At 39.2% G+C, this 19,557-nt stretch overlaps 1 annotated feature.

Moving 5' to 3' along the window:
- Nucleotides 14,358-14,558: a silencer, noted in NCBI's record as "peak3808 fragment used in MPRA reporter construct". NCBI's record gives its function as "represses an SCP1 promoter by STARR-seq MPRAs in K562 erythroleukemia cells {active_cell/tissue: K562}" and the evidence as "EXISTENCE:reporter gene assay evidence [ECO:0000049][PMID:32103011]".

Genomic DNA, 19,557 nt, shown 5'->3' on the forward strand with positions numbered 1-19,557 from the left:
GTTTTTCCTTCCCCTTACCAAAAGCATAAAGGCATTTTCTCTTGTCTTCACCCTGAGAACCTGGTAGACATTTTGCTTTCCCACACCAGAATCTAGAGTGAGCTGGAGTTGAGTATTTCTTTCTTCCTAGGTTAGTTAGGCTCTGGTAAAACCCCAGTCTATTAGGCTTTGGTGAAATAGTTTCTTTTGATAGCAGGCCATGGTAAGAACTGAATGCTCTTGGCATATTTAAAAATGGCTATCCCCAATCCCACTCTTATCTTCACAAAGGTATTTTTCTCCAGTCTGCACTGTGAGAATCTGGTAGGGCTCTTGGAGATAAAACTCAGGAAAGAGAGTTTAAGGAATCTCCTTAAGACTGGCACCTCTGGAGGTTTGAACCCTCAGGCTTGTCCACCTGAATTGCCTTTAGCAATTCATTAATTATACTTTAAATTTTCCTTCCTTTGTACTGTCTCCAGCATCTGGCTTCTGCTCCAGTGAGCTGAGGTTCTCTGTAATCACCTGTTGCTCCAATCGTGGGGGCAATAGTCTCTCTTGTGACCTCAATTCTATGATGGACCTAAGAAAAGTTGATAATTTGTAGTTTGCTCAGCTTTTTCTGTTGTGAGGACAGGAATGATGATTTCCAAGCTTCTACGTCAGACTCAAAATGAATTCTTTATTTATTACTTGCTTTTCTACCTGCATACTACCATATAATACCAAATATGAATAACATTCATAATATGAATAATATTCATATTAAATATTAGAAAAGGTGGTTGTAAAGATACCATTCTTCATACAGATTACTAATTCCTTAATGTTGAGAAAGCCTGAGCAGCTTATGTCAAGCAGAAATATGTATCATTAATTTTTCATGGTTAAAATTATTGATTCACCTTTGTAAGCATTTCTCTGGCATGAAATACTTTAAAAAGTAATGCAGGCCAGGTGTGGTGGCTCACGCCTGTAATCCCAGCACTTTGGGAGGCCGAGGCAGGTGGGTCACGAGGTCAGGAGATCAAGACCATCCTGGCTAAAACAGTGAAACCCCGTCTCTACTAAAAAAATACAAAAAATTAGCCAGGCATGGTGGTGGGCACCTGTAGTCCCAGCTACTTGGGAGGCTGAGGCAGGAGAATGGTGCGAACCTCGGAGGTGGAGCTTGCAGTGAGCCGAGATCTTGCCACTGCACTCCAGCCTGGGTGACAGAGCGAGACTCCATCAAAAAAAAAAAAAAAAGTAATACATATGCCTTGGATATGTATTTTACTGGTCAATATACAATTACATTGTTGTTGTTGTTTTAAAATTTCATTTATGTTTCATATTCTCTCTCTTTTGTTGTGGATCCCTGGACCTCTTGTGTCTTCTCATTCAGAATTTTTACCATGGTCTTACCAATGCTTTGTGAGTTCACTAATCCATGAAACAGAGCCTAGGCCTGTGCAAACTGAAACTACATGAGATTTGCATTACCCTAAATGTTGTAAGTTTACTCTCCAATTTGTAGGAGAGGTCAAGTTTTGTTTTTTAAGTAATATAACTGCTTTTTAAGATTATTTCTTCCAGTGAATGTCTGTTTGATATTTCAATTCTTAAGATGTTCTAATATTTATATTTTAAGTTAAACATCATTTCATTTTTCCTAGAATATATATATAACCTCACCAAAATCTACTTTGCCATTGAGGTCACAAATAAAATGCTAATGCCTCCCAGCTTGGATATCATCTGAAAATTAATTATTAAAGCTTTTTATTTATTCTCCAAATTTGGTTAAAAGGCAAAGCTAAAGATATTTTGCTGTACAATAACCATAGACTTTGTGCTCCTCCAATATATGAAATACATATATATAAAAATACATTTATATTTTTATATATAAACTCTATAAAATATAGATTAATAAAAGGAGGCCTTTTCTTAGGTCACTGAATCATGATTATAATCTTTCTCCATCCAGAAGCTCTGAGTTTCCACATCAGCTATAGATGATGTGTAAAGGACCAGGGATGAGAATAAGACAGCTATGTGATATTGACCACATCAGCCATGAACAAGGGCTCTTCTGGGGAAATGTTCACTCCACAGCCTTTACTGAAGGACTGCTTCTTTTGGTGTTATCATCTGTGGCTTATCAATAGAGAACACAGATCTTTACATAGGGAAAAGGGGCCCATTTATGGAGCCATGTTTCATTAATTTATGCATTCAGTTACTTCTTCACTCTGCTGAGTCCATGATATGACTCAGGCTATTCTATTTCCTGGGGCTATAATGATGGATGGCAAGGACTGTCTTTAGTGAAGGAGTAGCTCAGAGACCCTGGAGGGTACATAAAAGTAAATACTTAGAAAAGATGATAATCACTATGATGGGGGTAATCGCAGGAGGCTAGGGAACAACACAGTGGAAGAGTACAAATGAGACTGGAGCGAAGGGGAAAAATAGTGTTCACATAGGAGATGCATTTCAAGGTCACATATTGCAGACTGATGAAATAATATTGAGATGAGGAAGAGGACTGTATTCCAAGCAAAAACAGATCCACAGGCAAAGGACTGAAGATTGCAAATAACCTGGTATGGCTTGATTATGATTAGGGAATATAGAAAAGTGTGTTTGTGTTTTTAAAGTAGAAGAATTTGAACATACTTATATATGAATGTGGGAAATAGCAAAGGACAAGTGTTGTTAATAAATATGGAAGAATCCGATAGGATGGATGAAGGCTTTCCACAACTTAGAAACAAAGATTTAACATGGACTTAAAGCGAGCAAACAGTTGTAAAATTATCTTGTCAAGTTCCACTAAGAAACACTTTACTATATTTTCAGCTAGTAATAAGAAAAACATTTTTCTAGATTTTCGGCTACATAAATAAGATTAGTAGAAAAAGTAACATTTTATCATGTACCACATTAAATATCTGCAAAATAATAAACCACATAATGCACTTATGGCAAACCCATAGATTGTTTAATGCCTTTGACCATCAGGGCCTTGATTTCTAGCGTCAAAGAAAATAAGACAGTAGATATTACACAGGGTTGATGATTGGCAAGAAAGAAATAGTGGGAAGTTATGGAGAGGTGGTAAGATACCAGTGTTGAAGAGAGACAGGGACTACAATGAGCATGAGGCTTACGTGTAGCCCCATGGAGGAAGAGAGCCAAATAAAATCAAACAGGGGTTAATGGGCTGGTACACTAGGATAGAACTGAGAAGAGGAAGACTGAGATGCAGATTTACTGAGAGCAAAATAATCAAAGGTAAAGTCAGAGAAGAGAATGTGGAAATTCAAGAATTTGAAGATAGAGTCATTTCAAAAGCTGCCAAAGATGGTAAAATTTAAGGTGGGTTCCCAAGGAAGTTTCCCTCAGTTACTGAGGAGGATGATTCAATGTCAGTGAAAATGTTATGGTTTTAAGATACGCAGCATACACACACACAAAGACAACAAAATTTATTTGGCATAGCAGAAAACTCTTTGTGTCAATTTTCCACCTGTGCTTATCATGGGCTATTTCATAACCTTTTCTAGCCTTCAGGCTTTGTTATTGAATTTCAGGTTTCTTGTTCTTTCATTAAAATGGTGCCTTCTCATATGATCTTCTGTGATTTTCACAAATGCTGGATCCTGAATTACAAAAGATAATAATTAAATTTAAAAAATAAAATTAGAGGATCATACCTATTGTGTCTCATTTCACTGCTACGTGGATACTCTCTCCCCTTAATATTCACCCATCTTTACCTGTTTGTAACACCACACATGAACACTATCTCCACCTAAAAATCTTTCCTAAGCTCACACTCCTACCATAGCCGAATTATTTGCCTCTTCTCCTTGCTACTGTAGCAACCTATGCATACCTCTAGCAACCCAATGCATCATGCAACAATGTATTATGACTATCCTCTTATACAAAGATCTTTCCGAATGACTTCAAAACTTTGAGGTGAATGATATCTAATTCACCTTGTTTTCCCAGTACACAGCAGTTACTTGATAAATATTTGTAGAACTGAACTCTCTTAATATATCCCCATGCTCTGCTTATATTTGTGGATTGTAATCTTTTTTCTACCAAAATTATAGTAGCTAATATGTATTGATTGCTTACATACCAGGCACTCTGTATGTATCACCAAACATAGCAAATCTGTGTGTTACACATTATTCCCATTTTACTAATGAAAAAAATACAATTGTTTTCATATACCACTTAGAGTATTAAATTCCTTGCATATGATCACAGGAATTCTCACTATAGAGCCACTTGATTGTATTTACTGACCATGATATGTCACCTGAGGGGTACCGCCACCAGTAACCATGGCTCACAAAAGGATAGTGATTCTTTCTGGAAGCAGGAAGGCTGAGGTGTACCATCAAGGAAAATTATAAACATTTCAGTAAAAGGAAGATGTGCTTAAGTGAATATTGATCAGATAGATGGCTTTGAAATCCACTGGATGTGGAGTGAAGACTTTTCCTTGTCTCCACACCGAGAATCACCATGTGTGCTGAGACTCATCTCTCCAGTGATCCAAAGATGAAGTGTAGAAAAAACCTAGCTCAGAGTGTGCATTTCAGAAGAGTAATTTTACTGGGTGATGCTGGTAGAAGAAAAGCCTAGCAATCTTACTGGAAAATGTATCAACCTCTCTTCTCATTTCCTGAGTTTACAAAAAATAATAAAACAGCCCTGGTAAGCAAATGTTTGGTGGATTTATGCCCTGAAGAAGAGGTTAGACTTAGGATGTAAGTGGCAAGAGGCTGGGCCTATGGATTGAAAGATACTCACATGTGTGGCATCCAGAACTCATAACTGATCGTGTCCTATCTTTATAGGCAGAATGAGTAGGGTGAGATTGAGTTAAGTACCACAACTCTCAACCTGTTTAACAGCCACCTCGTCTTCACTCACAACAGAGGAAAGAGCCATATATTCCTGATTTAATTCTCCTTTCTTTACTGTGATGACTTTCTAAAGCAATTCTAAAACTGCACCAACAATAAGAAAAAAATCATTGAAAAAATAGAATATCAATTTAAGAAAAATAATTCCAGATTTATAGGTCAAGCAGAATTAAGGTGCCATATTGAACATTAATTAAGGGTATCTCTTCTTCCCCTAAAACACTAATAAATGGTGACAAAGGACACACACATACACACAGAGAGAGAGAGAGAGCACAAAGGATGGAGGGTCATTAGGAGACAAGAAATGTTTAAAAAATACTATAGGAGATGAAGAACTGATGCAGAAGTGGTAGAGAAGCTACATGGGTAAAGGGAAGTGCCATTGGGAAAACTGTGCACATGTGACTTGGGCCTCCTTCCAGAATCTCAGAGAAGCTCTAAATTTAGAAAGGCCAAAGAAAACAGGACATGTTGTAAAATGTTCAAAACAAGGATAATATCTGAAAGCCTATCCCTCTACCATTTGTCTTTAAATTAGCTCAAGGAAGCTGAACACTTTTCTCCAATCAAAAAGTGGGAGTCTCAAGGCATTCAAAAAGCTTTAAATGAGTGATACTGCTCACTCTCCCTGAAGATCCCTTTGTTCACTCTTCCTGAAGTAAAGATTACCCCATGTACTGTCTTCATATATACAGATCTCCTATACTATATTCTACTATCTCTCACACACAAAAATAAGCTGCTTATTTCAGAGTGAAGGTGTTAGAATAAAAAAATTGCAAAGGAAGTCCAGATTCCCTGATTATTAACATCTTATATTAGTATGGTACACTTGTTATAACTAATAAACTGATTTTGACACATGATGATTAACTGAAGTTTTTCTCTTCCAGGATCCTATGCAAGATCCACCACATTTCATTTAGTCACCGTGTTTCTTTAGGCTTCTCTTGCCTGTGACTGTTTCTTAGATTTTCCTTATTTTTGATGAGCTTGACATTCTCTAACATCAGGCATTTTGTAGAATATCCCTCAATTGGGATTTGTCAGATGCTATTCTTATGATTAGACCAGGACTATGGTATTTTTGGAGGAAAAACACAGAAATGAAGTGCTATTTTTAACGTGTCATATCAAGAATACATGGTGTCAACATGACTTGCCGCAGATAATGTTAACCTTGATCACCTGGCTGAAATATTGTGTTTTAGGTTTCTTGGCTGTAAAGTTACTCCTCTTTCGCCTTTTTTGTGCTGTACTTATTGGAAAAAGTTACTGTGCACCGGCCACACTTCAGGAGTGGAAAGCTGAGGTCAGAGTAACTACATAAATTTTTGGGAATTCTCCTACATGGGAGAGGTGTCTCTTTCCCCAGTTATTTATTTAATTATTTATATTTATATTTATATGACTTGTGGATATTTATTTTACACTTTGGTTGATAATCCAACCCAAATATTTATTTTGTTGCTCAAAATGTTTCAGTGTTGGCCACTGGAAGCTTGTTCTGCTATCTCTTACTTTCCTTTGATACACCCCCATTGGTGTAATTTTTTTTTTTAGCTTTCTCACTTTCTGGCACTATAAGCTACTTGTCTTGCATATTCCCTGTTCCAACCCTAGGATAGACTATTTTTGTAAGGAACCCTGGATCCTCTTATTGAAGAATGGTATTAGAAATGAAGACCTTGGCATTGGGCATTATTACTTCCTTTAACATATAAATAGGGACCAAGGATCGCCAGACATTTACATAAATCTTGGAACAAGAAAGAGAAAAATAAAGTTAAATACTCAACAAGATATCCCAAGAACAGCAGTCCCCAACCTTTTTGGTACCAGGGACTGGTTTCTTGGAAGACAATTTTTCCACAGACCAGGGTGGGGGGATGGTTTCAGGATGATTCAAGCCCGTTACATTTATTGAGCATTTTATTTCTATTATTATTATTACATTGTAATATGTAATGAAATAACTATACAATTCACCATAATGTGGAATCAGTGGGAGCCCGAGCTTGTTTTCCTGCAACCAGACAGTCCCATTTGGGGGTGATGAGAGACAGTGAATCAGGCATTAGATTCTCATTAAAGCATGCAACTTGGATCCCTCACAGGCGCAGCCACAATAAGTTCTAGCTCCCAGGAGAATCTACCACCCGCTGATCTGACAGGAGGTGGAGCTCAGGCGGTAATGCGAGCAATGGGGAACAGCTGTAAATACAGATGAGGCTTCACTCACTCACGTGCCCTCACTGCCTGCTGTGCGGCCTGGTTCATAACAGGCCATGGTTGGATACCCGTCTGTGACCCAGGGTCTGGGGACTCTTGCCCAAGAAAGTAGTGCTAATTCAGGGTATACAAAGAAAAATATGCAGCATCCTCAGTTACAAGATATTGTATCCAAAATTTAAGAACAACATGCTAGGAAAAATGCTAAATTATATGCATAAGAAAGAACTCAAGGAAAACAGAAAAATGACAAATGCAATTAAAAATTATTTTGAAAGTCAATAGAAGCATTGGAAAAATAAAGTCAAAACTCAGAGAAAATAATGCCAAAAGTCATAAGATTGCAGTGTATATAAGAAAAGATAACACTCAGCCATCTATCAAAGGAGCTCAACCAAGAGTTTTAGAGTAAGAGAACAGTCAAATTGGTGAAGGAGAAGATATTAAAGAAATAATACAAGAGAACTTCTCAGAGTCAAAAGTTATACATCTCTGGACGGTTTTGATGGTTGGAAAAGACCATGTCTAGATACATTATTGTGAAATTTAAGAGCACCAAGAATAAATAGAGTATACTAAAAGTTTTCAAAGGAGGAAATTACTAGGTCCTTAACAACGGAAAATAGCATTAGATTGACATTAGATGTCTCAACCTCAATACAGGATGTTAGAAAAAAATATGTGAACATTTTCAAAGCTCCAAGTATAAATACTTTTTCAGTTTGGAATTCTATAACCCAGGAAACTTTCTCTTTTTTTTTTTAATTAATTAATTTATTTATTCATTTATTATTATACTTTAAGTTCTAGGGTACAAGGGCACAACGTGCAGGTTTGTTACATATGTATACATGCGCCATGTTGGTGTGCTGCACCCATTAACTCGTCATTTACATTAGGTATATCTCCTAATGCTATCCCTCCCCCATCCCCCCACCCCACGGCAGGCCCCAGTGTGTGATGTTCCCCATCTTGTGTCCAAGTGTTCTCATTGTTCAATTCCCACCTATGAGTGAGAACATGCAGTGTCTGGTTTTCTGTCCTTGTGATAGTTTGCTCAGAATGATGGTTTCAATTAATTATTAGATTAGAATAGAAACATTTTCAAACATATGGAGAAGTGGAAAATGCACATTCCATCAGTCTTCCTGAGGAGGTTACCAGATGTCCTCGTTCCAACAAAATGAAGGGGCACATTATAACGAAAGGCAGGAGGATGGGAGAGAAAGGAAGTCGTGGGCTTTTCTTGAATAAACAAACATAAATGCCAGAATGACAGCTCTGCAGCAGGCCTCACGGAGCAGCCTGTCCAGGATAATGCTGCAGGATAAGTGTTCTAGGAGGGTGATATCCAGGAAAAATGTCACATGAAATTTTGCACTATCCCTGAAACTCTGAATAACTCATACAGGCTCTAAGGGCAGACAATAGTGCAATTAGAAATGCCAGGAAATAACCAAAACTGCTATAAACAAAACCAAACCAAAACTGTGAGGGAATGCTATTCTATAATACCACTTGATGTATATAATATCTATACAGTTGAAATAATGTCAACCCAATTAATTAATGATAGTTGCATAACTCTATTAGGAGCAGGTGAGATGAAGGTGAATGCCCTTTATAGTAAAGTCTTCATTTATCAGAACAGAAAGTCAATCTACAATGACTAAAATTGAGGAATTCATGAATGGAAAAGCCTAAATTGTAAAAGTGGCAGTCTCTGGGAGAAGGGTTAGGGTACTTCTGGGGGAAAAAAGAGATTTCTGGGTTTTTATTTCTTATTATTATAAACATCACTTTTTTTTTTCTTTTTCAAGTATGTACACGTGCTATTTGCATATAAAATAAAATGCATTACCATTTAATATATACATACAAACTTAGGCAACTAGTTAAATGTTCTATGGGAGAGGAAACTGGTTTTCTAGTTCTCTGCCTCTCCACTGAGGGAGACAGAGCCTCTGTGCTATCGATTTGGGCATTTTTAGCATATAGATGGAATTGAAGCCATAAAGTTTTGAGTTTATCCAAAGAGAATGTGGAAGGACGAGGCAAGAAAGCCTCCGACAGATCCCAGTCATAAGCGAGGTAGGTGTCATAAGAATCGAGGGAAGAAAATTGAGAGATTGATCAGCGATCATAATATAGCTAACATTTTGAGTTCTTAGTTTGTTTCAGGGAATGTTCTCTTTACATATATTAAATCATCTAATTCTCTCCATGAAGTTGATACTACTGTCTATATTTTCCAAATGAAGTAAATAGAGATTAAATTGATTATACACATTTCCCAGGTTCATAGAGTTTACACTTGCAGGACCTGGGATTATTAAATAGGCATTCCCTTTCTGGAGCTCATATTCTTAACAATCCGGTTATCCTATTCTGTGGAACCCTGCCAAGAAATCAAGGATCGGGAACTGAGGGTTCCTTGACTTTAAGGCCCACAGCACACTGGCTTGCCTTGAAGAAGTTCAGCTCCACTTGAACGAGGGATGGGGACTTACTCAACAAACATTAATCAAAAGTCTAAAATGTGCAAATCTCTGTCTTGGAACACGTGGAAATAGAGAGAACTAAATATGTGGCTCCTATATGCAACAGGCCCATACTTGAGTTGAACTTCCCATTCATGACATTCAAGATCTAGAGAAACTATTACAATTAACAGTTCTTTTCTTCTGCCCCACACATTCCATTACAGAAAAGATGTCCACTTTTGCCCCCCCCCCGAACTATATTCTCCAATTAAGAAATCGATGCTGATTTTATTATCGTTTTTAGGTTCTGTGTGCACAGGGACAGCTTGATTATGCTAATCAACATCACTGAGTTTCTAGATTATGCAAGTGCCTTCATTTCAAATCTAGGGATGTTGCAGAACAGCAAATTGGTTTAATTTGACTTTTTTTTCAATTTGTAAATGTACGTGTTGTGCGTATGTTGCGTATATGTGTGTATTGTGTAGCTACACATCCAGGGAGCCAAGAGCTCTCACTTTATGATAATGCAGAAAGAAGGCAAAGCTTCTGCTACTGTAAAATGACACTTTCCATCCTTACAAGAGTCCTTTTGTTCCTGGGTTTTCTCTTGCTATATTTCCTGAGATTCTTTTCAATTCTTTCCATTCCTTTGTTTTTATTTTTCTCAAATCCCTTCTTTGTTGGTTGTTCTTTCAGGAGACCCTGAAGGGCACAAAGGACTGAAGTTACCACAGCATAAAAATGCCAGGAGTTTAGGAACTACTGAGCAAATGAAAGACTGATGCAGAAGCAAACACCTTCACAGAGCATTTCTATTCTGTTCTAGCCTCTAGGCAGATTCATCTTGCTCGCTCTTTTTATTTCATGCATATTGATTCTAGGACTGTTTTGTACAGCTATCCGCTGTATCTCCTGACAGAAAAAAGTGAAGGCATATAGATGTGCAATTACACTAGTCCAGCAACACAGCATGATGCATACAGTGAATAAAACACATTCTTTACCAGAGGTTTGAGCTTTCAGCAAACAGTGTGCCCTAATTTGCCCTAATGTTCTGTCCTCTGAGCTATGGCAGTGATAAGCAGATGATGGTGCAGGGGGCTCCAGCCGAGCTGAATGGAAGCATACTGAGTTCAAAGCACTTTAGCTTTAAAGCAAACCCCTCATTAAGAAACATGCAATGCAATATTGACTATGGTAAGGATAGAGGCAATGGCAAATGAAGACAGCATTGGTAAAAATAGCACACATTTACTCCCAACACCAGTATTTAATCCATTATGAAGTCATTTCTTTGCCTTTTTCTAATTCAACATTCCTTTTGAAAGCCTCCTCCAATGCCATTCAATAAAAGCAGCTGTGATTATCTGAGTAGCAGGTTGCAAAGCCTCAGATGGAAGAAAAGGTGGTTATTCCAGTGGCAGCCCTAGGAAGCCCAGTGTCTACTGCCCTTCGAGCCAAGAGGCCACCTTTGGATGCTTTCTGAGACCTGGTTCCTCCTGCTATCACACTTAACCTTTATATGAAGTGTTCTCCTTCATTTAAAATGAGCTATAAAATAAGAGGCTTCAATAAATACAGCACCTGCATCAAGTGGGATTTGAGTGTATAAATGTCTCCAAATAGTCCTTATTAATGGTAGCCTGGAGCCACTCCTGTAGCAACAAAGTCCTCAAGTCTAATGAACCATTACAATGAAGAGAAACAGTGACTTGGTCTTAATTCCACCCTCTAGAAACGTTCTCATTGAAGTTGTCTTACTGAGGAATTATTCTAAATATATATAAGGATATTCTCTCAATTCTAAATGTGTACTGTAGCCTAGAATTTTAAGTTTCATAGGCTTTCCCTTGATTTAGTAGAATTGACAACTTTGGTGATCTATATTTGGAAATTTCCAAAGCAGATATCTTACTCCATGTAAAATACTGGCTCCAGATTTTTTGTTAAGTGATTGCTATTTTTCTGTGACCTCATAATAGTTAAATTTAGGACCTGGAATTGCCAACACTTTGCTTCAGCAGAGGTAAAACTGCTACTTGTGCAGAAGCCAGGGAGGAGGAAACACAGAAGCCGTCCAGGCGGCGTTCATTCATGTGATACAAGCAGCCCTCCCCACCATTTTGCACCTGCTCTTGCCTACTGTCTGGATCTGGCTCTATTGTAACATTCTATACCTTGGTCTTATATTCTCTTATTGGTCTTACATTCTCTTGTTGGTTCTTCTATCAAATTGTTTTTCTCCTGAGAATTTTCTTGCCTTGCGTTGTTCTATAGCTCCAGCATATGAACAATGCTGGTCACACAGTAGGCATTTAATTATTGCTTTTTACATGAATACTTAATGAAAATCATATCTAAACTTACAGAACTACTGATCCATCTGGGAGGAATCTTAATCAATGCCACATGTGATGAATAAGGAAACATATCGACTGCCTAAAAAATCCATGTCTGGAGTAGCAGACCCAGGAGCAAAACTCAGGAAAACCTGCCCCCTCGCTTTGGCTGCTTCACTTGTTTGCAAAGCTCCTTCAGATTCAGCGTGCATGTGAGCCGGAGATTTGCCCTGAGGTGGAAATATGGGCAAGCAGTGCTTGCCTGAACTGCCAGGAATTCTAAAGCTGCACCAGGGTTCAGAAAGAGAGAGACAGAGTGCCACTGTTGGTTGGTGATGATTACTGCCTGAGGGTGTGAGTGTGTTGGCGGTTGTGGAGGGAGGGTTTGAGGATCAAGGGCCACACACATTTAAATAAGCTCCACGTCTCTGAGCACCTGCTTTGTGCAGGTCATTGTAGCACAGGGCTAGGGGTGGCATTTGAAAACAAATGAGGAACCTACCTAGGATCAAATATTAAGCAAGCTGGAAAGCTGTCATGAGTTTATGAAATGGTCACTGGACTCTGAAAAGAAACGCGACATCCAAAAATCTGGGATTGAGTTCAGAAAAATCTCATTTAGCAGCTGTGTAATCATGGGAAGGTTACTTGAAGTCTCTGAGCTGCGGTATCTTAGAAGGTATTAGGGAGAATGCCTTTAATAGTCAATAATAGACTAAAGATAGCGTATGTCGTAGAATAATTTACTGTCTCATTTAACCCAAAGTAAAGAAGTAGGTACTCCTAGAATTGGTGAGCTGCATAAACTGTTGATAACGTAAAAACACAGGGACCTCCCCGCTTTGACTCTGTCACATTAAGGATCAGGGTGTTAGAAGTGCCTCCACAGCAGTCACAGGGTGGCTGCACCAGCTCCAAAAGTTCAATGCACACACAATGATAATCCAAAGCAAAAAATGGGGAGGCAATGGGAAGCCTCTCCTTGTTGGTCTCTCATTATTAGGAAAGAAAATATATCCCAGAAATTTCGCTACAATTCACTGGCTGGAATTGATGCCTTCACCCACACCCCCAAGTCAATCCACAGTGAGGGGAAGCCACCTGCACGGTTGGTTAAGAGGAGCAGGATTCATTCCCTGGGGCCTGGCCCACTGCGGCGGCAGACCTGAATAGAGTGGGAACGCTGAGAGTAAGGAGGAAAAGGAATTGGTGTTTGTTAGGAAACCTATCCACCAACCTTTCCTGAGGCTTGAGGTGATGGGAACCGAAGTGCACTTGGTCAGCTATAAATCAGTATACGAGGTAAAATTATTTTCATCATAATTATTTTTGCTGACAGTGAGTGTTTGTACCTGGAGCATTTCACCTCATTCCTTCACTAAGAGAAACTCCATAATAATAGGTTATCCAAGAAAGGGAAAAGTATCCATTTTTTTCTTGGTTTCTGACCTTAGGTAACAGATCTGGTAGCTAGGACAATGAAAGCCTCTGTGCATGTTCTCCAAGGGCACTGTGTCCTGTGCCCAATGGAAGGCAAGAGGGTGATGGAGAAGAAGCGTGCAGGGCAAGAAGCAGAGCTGAGGCATGAATGGATGTTACCTGGGGGCTGCCCCACTCCTGCCAGTCACCCTTCCCTGGGAACATTCCATACACATGTGTCTAGTCTGTGTGGCCCAGCCCGCTGGTCAGAATGAACTGGTCCCAGGGAGGACACTGGACTGCAGCTGGTGCAGTCGTTTCCTCTTGCCTTGAAAATTGGGAACGGAGAGACACAAAACTAGAAGTTGCTGCAGCAGAACACCCTACAAGACAGAGCTGGAGCTGTGGTAGGAAGGCCCCTGTCCTCCAGCTCCTGAAGTTCCTAGCATGGCCCAGGCCCTTTAGATTTCACGGGAGACTAACAGCGTGCTTATGAGGAGAGTAATTGTGAACTAAACAAGCTGTTCTCTCATCCCCTACTCCCCTTTTTCCTTTGATATTGTTCACCTTTGACCACTGACCCACCACTACTGACACTGGGTCAGTGGGTCTCTTCCTACCTTCAGAGTTTCAAAATTTTAGGTTCTGAGGTGAGAATAGAAATAATTCCACACACATAAAATAAATTTGGCAGTCCAATCTTTTCTCAGGTTGATAAAGAGTATCTGTCTGGGTAGAGGAGAATCCCAGGGAAATCAATGAGGGCTCAGATGCTGATGGTTTTTGCCACCATGTACACACATTCTCACACACACATACATGCATGCACATGCACACACAAATCCATGCACATGTTCACACAGATATACATGCACTTGTGTACACACACACACACACATTTACCACCACTCCTGTACCACCCAAAATTGATCCTAGATTGCGGTGATGAAACTCCCAATTTAGTTTGTAGGATCTGAAAACAGAGAAATGGTTTTCTCTTTCCTTGGAAGAGTCATAGGACTCCAGAAGAATGACTGTGCAGGTGACTAGACAGAAAAACATTAGAGTCTCACTGAGATCCTGGTACCTTGGTACACCATAGGAGGAGAAACAATGCACTGGTGTGCAGCCGAGCAAGGAATGATACTGAAGAGGCGACAGCTCCTGGGTCTGAAAAGTCTACAGAGACAACAGAACAACCACTGGCCTGGACCTCTCCACAGATGTTGGTGTGAGCAGAGGGCCCTGAGGACAGAGCCACACTGCAGGCCACTGAGGTCCTCTTCCCTTAGATCCATATGTAAGTCTGAGTGAAAGGCGGTACAGCTAAGGGATAACTGCTGTGGGATGGGGGTTGAAATAGAAAAGAAATGAGTTTTAGAAAGGGAAATAATATTTCTGGCACATATATATATATATATATGTTTGTGAACTGAGATTTATACTCATGATACTTTCAACAAATTTCTTTTTATGCTTAAAAGCCACATAGAATGCAATTTTTCTGGAGGTATTTTTTTTTATTTATTTGTTTTGCTTCAATCAAAATACATAAACCAATACCAAAAGACATCTCATCCAGGTCTTTGTGCTGCAGCTACCAGACAAGCAGACTGTAGGAGTTTTTATTTCCTTCTTTCTTTCTTTTTTTTTTTTTTTTTGAGGCAGAGTCTCACTCTGTCGCCCAGGCTAGAGTGCAGTGGCCCAGTCTCGGCTCACTGCAACCTCCGCCTCCCAGGTTCAAGCAATTCTCCTGCCTCAGCTCCAGAGTAGCTAGGATTACAGACATGCACCACCACACCTGGCTAGTTTTTTGTATTTTTAGTAGAGACAGTGTTTCACCATGTTGGCCAGGCTGGTCTTTAACTCCTGACCTCAGGTGATCTACTCGCCTTGGCCTCCCAAAGTGCTGGGACTACAGATGTGAGCCACCACGCCCGGACTCTCATTTTGTTTTAACTAAAGTTTTTATTGAAAAAGTACATGCATACACAAAATTATGCAAATTGTAATCATCCAGCTTGATGAATTATCACAAATCAATCACCCATGTGACCAACAGTCATACTAATAAATTGAATGTCACATCTCTCAAACCCCTCCCAGTCATTGCCACATCCATTGTTTCCAAGGATTAACACTAGTCAGACTTCCCACATCACTATTAGCTTTGCCTATTACGGTCTTTTATAGCCACAGAATCAGGTATGTATATTCATGTCTGATTTCTTTCATTCTCTTTCTGTTTCTTTCCCTATGCCTCCTCCACCGCACATACAACACTTCTACACTAAATATCCCAGTCATTTCCTACACACTTCTGAAACAGTATACATTTATTCACTTATGATTTATTTTTGATCTATCCACAGTGTAATAATTTTGGACAGTAGTCTCGTCTGCCTTACTCACCACTGCAATTTCAATACATAACAGTGCCTGACATCAGTAGGTGTTCAATAAATATTTGTGGAGTGCATAAATTAATGATTTGAACATTGTCTCCAAAATGTTTCTTTCTACAAATATATGTTCTCAACATGAAAAAGTATTTGGCCATATTTATCTGGCTTCTCTTGTTTACAAACGCTGCCATGTCTTAAAACAATTAGAAATGATCCCTTTTGAGTTTGAAGTTTGCTGTTGACATTAGCATATTTTCAGAATTGGGAGAAATGGCTGTGAGCTCAGAAGCAGACGTTTTTCTTTGTACTTTTGTGCAGTAATCAGCAAATAACATGACTGAAGGAGGCAGAGCATCATGCAGTAAAATGGTGTGCATTTTAGGATGAGCTATGTATTTGATTTGTATAATTTGGAAATGGGAACTTCAGTGATAACTTTAGTCACTGAATAAAACAAAGCTCATGAGACAGGTTTGGCATACTGAGTTGGGTTTTTTACGCTAGCAATAAAAAGGCAATATCTTATTGTGTAGCCTGTATTGTGGATATCTTGAGTTCTCACATTCCATCAACATTTCTATTTAAGGAGCAGGTGACTGCACACTGTATGAGGACTTTCTACTTCTCAATGCATTTTATGCCCTGTGAAATAGCTGACTCTTTCAGTAATAGACAAAACAGCAGGACAACAACTGACCTCCCCCTACTGCCACTTCCACAACCCACACTGAAGGACAAGGTCTACCCCAGGTGCTCACTGGGTAGAAGAGATGCAATACCTGGGTGCCTACTAGAGAAAATCAAAGAGGGAGGCCACTCTGCTGTGGGAGTGACCTTTGACATAAAAACCTACCCAGGAGCAGAGCTCAAACCATTGGTATTCTCTGAATTTAATAAACCCTTCTTCCAAAGGGAGGAACAAGAGAGGTGGTTACAGAGCCTCACATAGCATAACTTCAGATGGAAACTTTCACATCGGTTCTACAGATGGGATCCCTTGGAAAACAGGATTATTTGCCAATACTGTCTCAAGAGCACAGAGATGTTTGTGGAAGTTCCTATTGTGTAAGCCATCCCAACCTGGGCAAAGATAATATTTTTCCCACTCTTAGGTTCTTCCCTATCATGTCTGGGGTCACTAAGCAAGTGGATACTGCCCCTCGCCTGACTTGCTGTTTCCCTCCTGGGTAAAGTCATCATCTGCTGAAATAGCATTTGTTACCATTCCTGCACCTGCCATGGCCTGGCTATCTGTGGCCAAAGCTTTAGGTAGCATCAATATTTCCTTACTGTCTTCTCTTATGCCTCTAATTTAAAACAAGCTAAAGCAAGAAACAAAACCCAGGAAACAAGAAACATAACGAACATCAAAATTGTGCTTTAAACTCTTTTTCCATCACCCAACCCTAGGAAAGATTTAAGCTTTTAATTAGGTTTTTCGCAACCAAACTTCACCTTTGAGACAGAAATATACTGGCTATTCACAAGACAATATTTTCAAAGTGTATTTCATGATAGAATAATTGTTCAGGATATTAATAGTTGTTCAATAAAGATAGGATCAAATATCATTAGAGGTTATACAAAGAGAGGGTCAATATATTGAAAACATGGGGATGAAGCAGATTTCTTGTAGCGTGGGACTTTATAGAACCTTAGACATGCCCAGATGTGTTGTGATTCTCTAAAAAGGACTGTAGTTGGAAGTAGTTCCAAAATCAACTTGACCACCAAGTACAGTAATTCTAAGAGCATCCTGTGGTTTCCATAACACTCTTTGATCAGTGCTGTTGTAGAGAATAATAATTGAGCAAACTCTCCGTCAGTTAGCACAGCATCAAATTTAATAGCATCCTTGATCCTTCTATCTCCTTTGCTTATATAAATTAATATTAAAGACCTGTTGTAGTTAGGAAGCACATATTTAAACAGATAAGGAAGCAAAGACAATGAGCCAGAAACGGTTTGAAAAGTGATTCAAATTGTTCTTTTTAAAAGAATTATCTGCCTTTGCAAGACTCAGAAACTCAAGGGAAGATTAGTTGATGAGACTGTCCCATTTCATGATCTTTGTTTTCCCTTTGTCCATATTTACAGAATTGAAGAGATATCAGCAAACACTAACTCAGAATCCCATGTACTGAACTGTTTAAAAAGAGAGTAAGTCTATTATGGCAAAGATACCACAGAGGCAGAGATGTGAACTGGAAAGGACTTTTACCTCCTCCACGCATGATATGACAGGGGTGTCTGCTGCTTCATGATAGCCCTGTTTGTCTTAACAAAATATGATGAGTAGCAATGGAGAATCCTGCTAGGAGCAGTAACTGAAACTTCAAAACAGAAAGAAAGAAACAATTATGGTTAAGGGGACTGAATGTAAGGAAAACATTTGTCTTCATACTCTGCTCAAAATGTGTGGATGAGCATATGAAAAAATCCAACCAATAGAGCTATCTAAATCATGAAAGCCTTCCATCTGTTAAATTTTATTTCTTATTATGCTTACCAATGCATGCTTGTTAAATAGCCTCTAGGCCCATGTTAATATCAAGATTAAAAACATAAGTTATTTTAATAATATTATCCAAGTGAGACAGGTGGCAAATCTACCACTCAGGAAGAAATCAAGCCTGGAAACAACATAATAATCCACAGCACAACTGAGAGAAAAATATTCAAAAGCTTCCAACAATTCATGAACTTATTATTAAATAAGATAGACAAAATAACTATTCAGGCGGTTTGTAGTAAATTTCTTAATCGAAGACCATCTTGCAGTATTTTTTATGCTGTGAATCCACTGAAATTTGGCAAAAAAAAAAAAAAGGAAATTAACTTCTTCCTTTTTGTTCCATTAGTTAAGTATAACTGAGATCTAGATAACCTCAGAAAGCGAGGACAGTATTTTCATCTGCATAGCATTCCTTTAAGTCTGTTATTACTCTCGATCCTTCAGTTGATTATTGTTTATTTCTGCCAAGTCAACAGATTCCACTGTAACAGTGCTTCAGTATGTTTTCAAAATTTGAATGTATGTCTATTTCTCTTTTCTACTGTAGGAGATTCTAAACATTATTTGTGTAACAAATCAAAGTTTTCCAATGCCCACAGAATACTAGAGATGTCTTACGTTAGAATCATGAGATCAAAAGTTTAGAACATGAGGATTCTTGGAGATAATCGCATTCCCACATTTTACCATCAGAAAAGCAATGAGGTGCATTGGTATGCAGAGTACTGGGATTTATCTGGCCACACCTCCAAAGGCTAATCCAGTCCCCCATCTTTCCACGTCTGCGTCTGCTCCCACAGCTGATTCCACTCTTCTTCTTCTTTTTTTTTTTTGACATGTAGTCTCAGTCTGTCACCAGGCTGGAGTGCAGTGGCGTGATCTCGGCTCACTGCAACCTCCGCCTCCCAGATTCACGCTATTCTCCTGTCTCAGCCTCTCCAGTAGCTGGAACTACAGGCGTGCACCACCACGCCCAGCTAGTTTTTGTATTTTTAGTAGACACAGAGTTTCACCATGTTAGCCAGGATGGTCTCTATCTCTTGACCTCATGATCTGCTCCGCCTCGGCCTCCCAAAGTGCTGGGATTACAGGCATGATCCACCACGCCCGATGGACTCCCCTCTTCTTACAGCATCAGTTCCTTCCCAGTCCTCACACCACCTGGGCTTCAGGCAAGAAGAGTTTTAATAACCTCCTGTCTCTGGTTAGGTAAGGTTTGAATCAAATCATTCTTGGATTGTT

This window comes from Homo sapiens, chromosome 2 (assembly GCF_000001405.40).
Source record: "Homo sapiens chromosome 2, GRCh38.p14 Primary Assembly".
Taxonomy (NCBI): Eukaryota; Metazoa; Chordata; class Mammalia; order Primates; family Hominidae; genus Homo; species Homo sapiens.